Source organism: Homo sapiens, chromosome 2, assembly GCF_000001405.40.
Source record: "Homo sapiens chromosome 2, GRCh38.p14 Primary Assembly".
Lineage (NCBI taxonomy): Eukaryota > Metazoa > Chordata > Mammalia > Primates > Hominidae > Homo > Homo sapiens.
In genome coordinates this window covers 102,525,290-102,536,719 of record NC_000002.12, presented here as the reverse complement: position 1 = coordinate 102,536,719, position 11,430 = coordinate 102,525,290, and the positions used below count along the sequence as shown (strand labels likewise).

The 11,430-nt window shown below is 40.7% G+C and overlaps 1 protein-coding gene across 2 annotated transcripts in view; it reads right to left on the bottom strand.

Moving 5' to 3' along the window:
- Positions 1-2,747: 2,747 nt before the first annotated feature.
- SLC9A4 (solute carrier family 9 member A4) overlaps positions 2,748-11,430 on the bottom strand; it is a 60,747-nt gene continuing 52,064 nt past the window's right edge. For both annotated transcript variants that reach the window (NM_001011552.4, XM_011511158.2), the window contains exons 11-12: positions 10,374-10,461; positions 2,748-4,390 (exon numbers count right to left, since the gene is read on the bottom strand). In NM_001011552.4, coding sequence (NP_001011552.2) covers positions 4,032-4,390; positions 10,374-10,461 — 447 coding nt within the window. In that variant the 3' untranslated portion in view covers positions 2,748-4,031. The remainder of the gene's footprint in view (positions 4,391-10,373; positions 10,462-11,430) is intronic.

Genomic DNA, 11,430 nt, shown 5'->3' with positions numbered 1-11,430 from the left:
GAGAATATCCCCTCTGCTGCACTACTGGATGCCTCCTGGAAAAACTCATCATGTGAAATTGATAATCAGAGCATTCCTGGGCTAGCTGCTGTACACTCAACCAATCTCCAAAGTGCACTGTCCTTCCAGAGAGTATGGAGGGAAGATCAGATCACACTGCATTTTCAGACAATAGTGGATGATGAAATACAGAGGCCATTTTGGCCGTGCGCTCTCCATGTCTGACAGAGCCAGCAGCATCACAGCATCAAGGGGGCCCTCAACTTGCCACAAGTTTTAGGAAGTAGCTTCAGGGCCTCTTTCCAGGCTTGAACAGCCATGTCTGTCTGTCTAGATGAACAAATGCCCTTGGGGAAAACAACTCCGTTATGACCTCTACCAACTAAAAGGTAAAGTTCTACTCTACTAAGTCATACCACGCCTCACCTTAATGGCACCAGCATCTCAGAGTAAAACAGGATAGTTTAGATAGAGTCCACTGATTCTTAGACCTTGCTGGCTGCTCCGGGAAGGGCCCTTTGCAATGGATTTCTGTTGTTGTATGGATAGAGTCCAGTAAGGGATGTGGGGACGCTTCAGGTCTGAAGAGTTCATTTTCTTAATGGCACTGGAAAGGTTAATTCTGATGACTTCTCTCCGCTGCTATATCTCCATCTATAGTTCAAGGATAATGGCCCACTGCCTTTCTTTCATGGGACACAGTTTTTTTCTGTTGTTGTTTGTTGCTTGTTTCTTTAAACAAAGAGAACAAAATCTGGCTGGGTGCAGTGGCTCACGCCTCTAATCCCAGTACTTTGGGAGGCCAAGGTAGGCGGATCACTTGAGGTCAGGAGTTGGAGACGAGCCGGGCCAATACGGTGAAACCCCGTCTCTACTAAAAATACCAAAATTAGCCGGGTGTGGTGGTATGCACCTGTAGTCCCAGCTACTTGGGAGGTTGAGGCAGGAGAATTGCTGGAACCTGGGAGGCAGGGGTTGCAGTGAGCAGAGATCATGCCACTGCACTCCGGCCTGGGTGACATAAAACAAACAAACAACAACAACAAAAACAAAACAAAGCAAACAAACAAAAAAAATGAGGACAAAACCAAAGATTCCTGAGTTTTATGTGTGCTTCTGTCCCTTTAGGCTGATTGCTGTTATTTGATAGTGCATAATTTTTATTAAAATCAAGATATTTAGACAATTTAGAAGCAGCTTTATATTTCAGGTTCGGAAGGAGAAAGACAAATGGGCTTCTTTGATGGCATTTCTACCACTGCAGCAGGAAAATGAGTTCAAGTCATTAAAAAAAAGATACATTCAGGAGAAAACACGTGTCTTTAGTCAGTAACTAGCACCCATGGGTTATACTAGAGGACAAGCAAGCATCCTTCAAGGAAAAACAAACTCTGAGTTGGCATCAGAGACCATCTCAAGATCTCATTTTTATCATCTACAAAATAAAAATGCCTGACAGCACCTTTTCTAATGTCCATTACAGCTCTAAAATGCTACTGTCAGTTTAACATTTACAATCTACCATGCGTGAGGCACTATGATAACCGATAACAGAAAAAGATGAAAAAAAGCCAAAAAATACAAAATAGGTAAAGGGGTGAGATAAAAAACACAACAGATAAATGGATAAAATTTAAAATGAACAAACTGTCCTCCCTGTCCTTCAGCCCACTGACCACCAGAACAGACCTATGTGTGCATGCATAGACATAATTCACAGATAAGGTACATAGCATACCCGAAGGGGTGTGGGGGCACCAAGGGAGAAGGTAAAGGCTGGTCTAGGGAGCAGGATGCCCTTGGTCATGGCCTTTAATGACATATAAGATTAAATCAGCTGAGGATGGTACAGATGCCAGTGATGGCAAAAGGGTATTTGGTTAGTTGCATATCGTAGGTTAGTTATTTGGCCCAATAAATGTTTGTTAACCTACTGGTGGCCAGAAGAAGAAAGGGAAGTTGGAAGAGAAGACAAAAAGCGAGGAAAGATAAAGTGATCTAGTAAAATTGAAGAGCTGGAATTTGAGATTCAAGGTCAAATTTGGGGAGATGGGGATGGAAAATGAAATCGAAAAATAGTTTTAATGATCACCATTCTAACTGGTGTGAGATGGTATCTCATTGTGGTTTTGATTTGCATTTCTCTGATGGCCAGTGATGATGAGCATTTTTTCATGTGTTTTTTGGCTGCATAAATGTCTTCTTTTGAGAAGTGTCTGTTCATGTCCTTCGTCCACTTGTTGATGGGGTTGTTTGTTTTTTTCTTGTAAATTTGTTTGAGTTCATTGTAGATTCTGGATATTAGCCCTTTGTCAGATGAGTAGGTTGCGAAAATTTTCTCCCATTTTGTAGGCTGCCTGTTCACTCTGATGGTAGTGTCTTTTGCTGTGCAGAAGCTCTTTAGTTTAATTAGATCCCATTTGTCAATTTTGTCTTTTATTGCCATTGCTTTTGATATTTTAGACATGAAGTCCTTGCCCATGCCTAAGTCCTGAATGGTAATGCCTAGGTTTTCTTCTAGGGTTTTTATGGTTTTAGGCAATCATTAAAAAGTCAGGAAACAACAGGTGCTGGAGAGGATGTGGAGAAACAGGAACACTTTTACACTGTTGGTGGGACTGTAAACTAGTTCAACCATTGTGGAAGTCAGTGTGGCGGTTCCTCAGGGATCTAGAACTAGAAATACCATTTGACCCAGCCATCCCATTACTAGGTATATACCCAAAGGACTATAAATCATGCTGCTATAAAGACACATGCACACGTATGTTTATTGCGGCATTATTCACAATAGCAAAGACTTGGAACCAACCCAAATGTCCAACAATGATAGACTGGATTAAGAAAATGTGGCACATATACACCATGGAATACCATGCAGCCATAAAAAATGATGAGTTCATGTCCTTTGTAGGGACATGGATGAAATTGGAAATCATCATTCTCAGTAAACTATCCCAAGAACAAAAAACCAAACACCGCATATTCTCACTCATAGGTGGGAATTGAACAATGAGATCACATGGACACAGGAAGGGGAACATCACACTCTGGGGACTGTTGTGGGGTGGGGGGAGGGGGGAGGGATAGCATTGGGAGATACACCTAATGCTAGATGACGAGTTAGCGGGTGCAGCACACCAGCATGGCACATGTATACATATGTAACTAACCTGCACAATGTGCACATGTACCCTAAAACTTAAAGTATAATAATAATAATAATAATAATAAAAGAAAAATAGTTTTATACCCTAGGGTAAAATGTCACACCCTACAAATGCACCCCTTATAAATACTTGTTGTTAACATCATTGCTATTAAACTCTGTTTATGGCTGTTTTGTTTCTAATATTCATTTTTAAAATAAATATTTCAATTATGAAATAGACCGTAAACCCATTGTTCACAGATTAATCCTATAGTATGCATCACATCTATCATTGCTACTGATTAAATAAAGCAAATTCATAACAAATTTTATCTCTGATAGAACATAATTATTGCATATTGAATATGAAATCAAAATCAAATTAGTTTCAGTTTGGAGGGAGGACAATCCGACTGTGAACTCACCATGCAACCTTGGACTACATGTCCTTGTCTGTAAACACAAGGGGCTGAGTCAGGTGACTTCAAAGTCTCTTCTAGTTCTATTTGATTATAAGTTGCATATGCATATCGGCAATGTGAATTACTGATTAATCACGCTTGTATTTCAATATATGGCTTGGATCCAATGCTTTTGATAGAAAGTTCTTAGGAATTCTTAGTGACTAATTCCTGGGGTGATCAACTTCTCTCACTCACAGGGAATTCATCTAAAGGTACCCCACAATAAGTACATGGCAGAGCCTGCAAGTTTGCTCCCAGTCCTTGGAAAAAATCTTCCTGCTGCTTATAGATCCATGTTTAATAGCTTCAACACAGCAAACTCAATAGCTCTCTTCTGAATTCCAGAAATCCTCCTTTCACAGTTATAGGAAGACAGACTCTTGAGAAACACCAAAACAATCTTGTGGACAATAACACTATTTTTTTTGGAGCAAAGGACTATGGGACCTGTGATGGTCCCTGCCGTGTCCATGGTCAGCTGTCCACCTCGACCGAACCTCAACCAAAGAGGCCTTGCCCTCACTCTCCCCTCCAGACTCACCCTCCTCATCCACTGCATGAAACAGAGGTTTGGGTCTTAAGGCCACCCTCCTTACTCCACCCAAGTACTCTTCTTGGCTTGTGTTTCTTTGATAACCAAAGCTGAATGCCTTCCTTCCTCTGTGTAGGCTCTTCATTGGTATTATTTCTTGTGCCTCTTGCTTCTGAAGTGACCCTATCCGAGAGCATGCGCTGAACGTGATGGATGGGGATCCTGGATCACTGCTGTCATCATCTAGGAAAACATCATGGCAAGAAGGGGAAAGAACAAGACTTAAGATCAGAGTTAAGACTTAATATCCACATGGCAGGAACTCAGAGTGAAGCAAAGCTCTTCCTGAGGTTTCAGCTCTACACTCAACTTTCTTATCAGCACAATTTTTCCTTCTCAAGGACACTGCCCCAAGCAGATGGGAGGACAGAAGCTATAAGTGCAGTGTCATAAATAAATAGAAATGCATGCAAAATGCTGTATCAAGCCAGTCTCCCCAGGTAAGTAAGGTAGTGTCTTTTTACAGAATCAGATCAGTTGGCCATAGACATAAACCATGGGACACAAAGATGCTTGGTCTTGTCCAAAGCCAATGCTACACACAGGTTATGTGGTGCAGCCATCTGAAAGTGGTTGCTTTTATCTTGGTTTGCTTTTTAATCAGTGGTTACCAGAAAGCATTACATCTGAGTTCCAATCTTTGATATAGAAAAAGTCAATCCTGGAGAAAGGGGGATAGAAGGGAGCCACAGCAGAGACCAGGGCGTGACCGGATGCCCTCCTTTCAGAGGACTAAGCAGGTGACAGACTGTGAATGGCACTTGATGGGAACTTCCCTTTCCTGATAATTTACTATATGCCTGTCACTGTGCTAATCCTTTTAAATATATCATGCCATTGAATCCTCATAGCGGCCCTTTCGGGTGAGTAAAGTTATGAATCTCACAGGTAAAGTGGCTGAGGTTTCACGAACTTAAGCAATACTCAATATCATAAGCTGGTGAATATGGGACCAGAGTTTGAGCAGAGCCTATCCAGCTTCAAATCCACTTCTTACCATCAGGTCTCCTTGCTGTCTCCTTGGTGTATCCACGTGTAAGAGGGAGGGCTACCTCATGAGAGGGGAGCCAGCAGCTGTCTATGCAATGTCCCCTCTTGGATTCTCTTCCAGACCCCTAACCGATGCCTGGGACATTGTCTTGTCCCCACTTCAATGTGCACACATCTTCAAAGGAATATTTCTCACATATATCATTTACTCTCACTTCTTCAAAGTCTTAGCCTTATAAATTTATTTTCCCTTTAAAAATTCTCCTAAGAATTTAGGTATTTTCTAGAAAAAATTAGCTGGGCGTGGTGGTGGGCACCTGTAGTCCCAGCTACTCGGGAGGCTGAGGCAGGAGAATGACGTGAACCTGGGAGGCAGAGCTTGCAGTGAGCCGAGATCACGCCACTGCACTCCAGATTTGGCGACAGAGCAAGACTCCGTCTCAAAAAAAAAAAAAAAAAAGAATTTAGGTATTTTATATTTAAATCTGAAAGCCATGTTCTTTCTCTCATTCTCCCTCCTAAAAAAACAAAACAAAAACTCCATATCTAGAATGAATATGCCCAAAGATTTACACTTGAAAAAATGTATTTAGAATGTGGGACACCTGAAAATCTTAAAATATCCTGTTCAATAATGTTTTTCTAAAATGTGACCAAATTATACTAAGAAGCTAACTTGGAAATTGGCCAAAGGAGACCAACTTCTTTCAATAAAGAAAACATTAATTAATATATCTATATATCTGTCCATTTTTTTTCCCTGACTCTCCTTTAACATGTTCTCTACAACAAGGCCTGGGACCAGTTCCTCTGGATCCTTGGTGCTTGAAGCACTAGCTAAGGAAACAATGGCCTGGAGGCTTCTGCCCCCAAACCCTGTTCTTTCACTCCAACCTTTCCTGTTGAGTGCTCCATCAGTGGACAGACCCTGGTCACTGTTTTGGTTTCCTGATCACCCTCTGGGTTATTTTACAGTGGACTCCAAGCTCTAGGAAGAGGCATGGGTATGTGACTTGCAAAGTTTCACTCGGCTGAGAGCTGCCCAAAATTGAAGGAATAAGTTGGCTGGAAAGCAGAAGGCAGAAAAAGGAAGAGTGAGGACTGTGTTTTGTCCTTTTCGCATAACTCTCCTCCACATGGGCACCCAGGTAGTGCAGTTCCAGGCAGAGCAGTGGATACTTTGGCAACAAAATCTGAGTATGTGTTCTTTTACCTCCCACCTGACCAAAAGCCTTAACTTCTGGACATGGGCACCCTGGCATGAAAGGAGAAATAAGGAAGGTGCTTCTGCTCAGCGCAGGGCGGGCCCCAACACACAGAGGATGAACTACCTGATGCAGGATACACTGTTCAGACACCCAGACTCGGAGTGCAACACTCCCCACCTCCACATTTTTTAAACTTGTGGTAAAATATACGTAACATAAAATTGACCATTTTAACCATTTTTTTCATCTAACTATAAATAAGTGTACAGTTCATTGCATGAAGTGCATTCACATTGTCGTGTTACCATTGCCACCATTCATCTCCAGAGCTTTTTCATCTGCCTTGATGCACATGGATTCTAAGCAGCCTCAGGTCATATAAGAGGTTTCCAGTCAAGACCTCTCTAGTTATAACACCAAGTGAGCCCTAAAGGCAAAAGAGCCCTGGAAAAGCATGTGAAGTCCCCCAAACCAGCATGGAGCTCCAAGACATCCAGAACAAGAAAAGTCCTGACCCTGGAGGGCAAGGGGAGAGCTAGGAAGGGAAGCATTCTCCAAGTTTCAGGTGGGTTAGCCAGGGACTGCTTGCCTGCAGAACATGACTCTCCACTGTCTCCCCTAGATCCCCTCCAGCCATTCTCCTGGTGCAGAAAGACTTTGGGTTTGGAGAGAAGGATTCCAATGATCAATTGTGCTTGATTACACATTGAGGACTATCTCAGCCTTATCCTGATCACTATTATAATCCTTTTTAAATGTATCATGGTTTATTATTTTTCATAAATCGTAACCACAGAAATGACAAATTATTCACAGTAGAGTTAATTCCAAGCAAGCCAGAAATGAGTCTGCATAAATAGGCATAAGTTTCCATGACAAATAAGAACAAGTATTTAAAATCCTGCAGACATATGACCCATAACATATTGCAGAGCACTGATTTCCCATCTTTAAAACTTATTAAAGAAAACTGCTAACATAAGTGCTATTTCATTACTTTTCCCTCAGATTTCTAGTTTAACCACTGTCTTTGTTCACCTGGATGAAACTTAGAACCAGTCGAGTATATTTGAAAGAAAAGAAATCATTGGGACTAACAGTTCATTCCAAGTCTGAAGTAATTCATGTAGAACTGACATGGTGAAGTGTTGTCTTTCTTTCCAAGAACATCTGTATTTACCCATGTCAAGGCTTCTTTAAGTCCCTAAGTAGTAATAGTAATAATGACTAATATTTCTTGCACATCTACTTGGTTCCAGACTCTGCTCTAGCAGCTTTATGTACCTGTTCATATGCGTATCCTGCATGTATGAGACTGGCTTCACATCAGGACAATACAATTGCATATGGAGGGAACCAATATCATCCTCTTTATAGACCGGAAATGACAGTGTGGAGAAGTAGAATTTTATTTTTCCTTCATATATATCCTGTCTATTTCTTCCTGGCATTTTATGGCTTTGACTGAAAGTGTGACTGAGATATCCTTTAGTGAGGACATCCATTAAAAGGTTAGGATCCTGTGACCTATTTATCAGTCTAGTGAATAATATATGTATGTTTCCAAATGTTAAACAACTCTCAAATTCTGGAATAAACCCCACTTTGCAAGGTGTATTGTACTTTAGTGTTTTGCTGTATTTTGTTTATAATGCTTATTTAAGATTTGTTCAAATGAATCTGCTCCGTGGTCATCTCCTGCTACCATAGGCATGCAGTATTGATGCTCATCTCTTAAGAAATAACTGTCGTCCAGGCATGGTGGCTCACACCTATAATCCTAGCATGTTAGGAGGCGAGGCAGGAGGATCCCTTGTGCCCGGGAGTTAGAGATCAGCCTGGGCAACATAGGGAGACCCTGTCCCTTTTTAAGATTTTTTTCTAAAAAAATTTAAATTAAAAAAAAAAAAGAAAGAACTGTGACACTTTCTTGTTTTCTCACTCAAATAACAAAAATAGTGCCAGGTTATTTGTACCAGGAAGATGGTTTAAAAAAATTAAACTATCGACCAGACTCGGTGGCTCACGCCTGTAATCCCAGCACTTTGGGAGGCTGAGTCAGGGGGATCACCTGAGGTCAGGAGTTCAAGACTAGCCTGGCCAACATGGTGAAACCCCGTCTCCACTGAAAATACAAAAATTGGCCGGGTGTGGTGGCACATGCCTGTAATTCCAGCTACTCGGGAGGCTGAGCCAGGAGAATCGCTTGAACTCAAGAGGCAGAGGTTACAGTGAGCCAAGATCGCTCCACTGCATTCCAGCCGGGGTGACAGAGAGAGACTCATCTCAAAAAAATAAAAAAATCGTTGGCAACATATAGGAGATAAAATGGATGATATCCTTGTTATATAGGGTTCTTCAAATTCATCTCAAGAAAATCAACAACCAAATAGAAAAAAACAAAACAAAAAACGAGCAAAGGCAGGAACAGAAAACTTCACCCCAAGAAATATCATTGTTTCCAAAATGTGAAAGATGTTCAACTTCACTAAAAATCAAAGAGATTCATATGAAAATTAAATCTGACATATAAATTTTATGCTACGATATCACAGATTACTCAAAAGTTTGACAACATCCCAGTGGTATTAGGAAAAGATCATTCTTACAGACTGTTGTTGTGAGGGCAAATTAGTGATATAATCTTTTGTGATGGTGTTTTGACAATATATGTAAAAATTTAAATCTATATGAATTTGACCTCAAAATTTTACTTCTAGGAAAATATACTAAGGGAGTAATTGCTTATTTGTTAAAATACCAATCACAAGTGGTCCAGAGCCCTTAATATGTATCATTGTTTATATTTATTAAAAGTTGATAATACCTTAAGTATTTATTAATTAGGAATTAGCTTAATAAGCTTTGGTACATGCATATAATTATTATTAACTCATTAAAAATGAGTATTAGATCCACATCTATTGACATGGAAACCTAGGTACAACATTTGTTCAGTGAACTAGGCAATTTATAAAGATTGCAAAACAATGACTATACTTTGCTTTTATGTATCATATGATGCAATGTTTTTGTGATTTTTTTGTGGAGGGAGGTGTCAGTATGGGTAGTGTGGGATCAGGCAGGTATAGGAAGAATTCTAGAAGGGTGCTCACCAAAACATTCTATGGTGATCATACCTTGGCATTAGGGTTGCAAATGCTTTTAACTTTTTTTATGCTTTTCTCTACTGAATGATTTTGACTTTGTATCAAGTATGTTTTTAAATCAGAAAAAAAGTTTCATTTTGAGGTAATTACATATACTCCTTAAAGGTTAAATACTAAAATCCTTTATGTTTAGTTTACGTGAATTTCCAACATGATTTTAACACTTAAAAATTAGGAAAATAAAAATAGATAACACGGCATATTACATATATTATGTCACCTTTTGCTAATAGCAAATCATTTTATACACATATAAAAATAGTAACTGCTTTTATTAGAATAATAAAGTTTCAATAATTCTAAGAATTCCACTTAATAATTAAATATTAAATGGAAAACATTTAATCAGTAAATCTGGTGAAATCATTTTAGTGAAATTAAACCAGCTTTGGAGAACTCTGCTCATATTTAAATAGTGGGTGAATATTAGAACTTCAATGAAACACTCCTTTCACATTTCTTCAAGATGAGATCAAATTATGACCCTTGGTCTCTATCTGGCCTACTTCCTCTTTGTGTATGGCATGTCAACTACAAATGGTTAGTACATTTTTAAGGGGCTGAAAAAAATTAAAAGAAGATAATATTTCATGAAAAGTAAAAATTATACGAAATTCAAATTTCAGTGTTCATAAACAAAGTTCCGAGTTTCAACTATAAAAGAAGTTGTTTTCTTCTTTTTCTTATCATGTAAGTAACCTACATAATGTTCTTAATGTTGCCTCTTGGCCCACACCCCCAGATATTTACCACCTGACTCTACAGAAAAGCAGCAGAGCAGCCAGGTGGGCAGCTTACCTGAGAACCCAGCAGCCCTTGTGTCTCTTCCTGCAGACTGAGGATTCCCGTAGGGGTAGGAGAGGTAGCGGATATTCTTGGTGCCAGCCTGTGGGTAGCAAGTAGAAAGAAAAAGCAGAATAAGCTGTCTCAATTAAGAGCTTCACATGGCAAATAAAGGGCCAGACACTGTGGCTCACGCCTGTAATCCCAGCACTTTGGGAGGCAGAAGAGGGCGGATCACCTGAGGTCAGGGGTTCAAGACCAGCCTGGCCAACATGGTGAAACCCCGTCTCTACTAAAAATACAAAAATTAGCAGGGCGTGGAGACGGGCACCTGTAATCCCAGCTACTCAGGAGGCTGAGGCAGGAGAATCGCATGAACCCGGGAGACAGAGGTTTCAGTGAGCTGAGATCGCGCCACTCACTGCACTCCAGTCTGGGTGACAGAGCGAGACTCTGTCTCAAAACTAATATAATAAAATAAGGGGAAGAACACAGACCTGTTCTGTGGCATCTTGTTTGGATTACTGGCTTTTAGTTTTTTTGTTTTGAGAAAGCAGAACACGCCAGTCTCCAACATGTATTTCCTTCCCCTCTCATGATAAAATAGACCATTAGCAACCTTTCAAAGTTACTCTCGTATCCCCACTGAGGTTAGGCTTGAGATTAAGGTCTGCTTCTCACCCAGCCTCCATTCAAATTGCCAGTAAGACTGGTTTGTTATGGCCTCCAATGGGAAGAGTGCAGGAACACAGTGGCTGATGTGAAGGTGACCCAGGAGTCTTGGTAACAACCAATCCCTTCCTATACCTTCTTGGGAGAGAAGTAAGCATCCTGGGATCAGAGGGTCTGGTCCAGACCCAGACCCCATGGTGACCAGGTACTGACCATGAGGACTGAAGGGCATGGTCAGTACCTGGTCACCATAAGGTCTGTGTCTGGACTCATAGCACACCAAGTGTGTGGCAGTCCCTGACCCACTGTGGAGGGAAGCACCCTATGGGCAGATGCCTTGGGGCCCTGAACCCAGAGAAAAAGGTTGCTCTGGTGTCCTGCACTCTTGCTTTAGTATCTC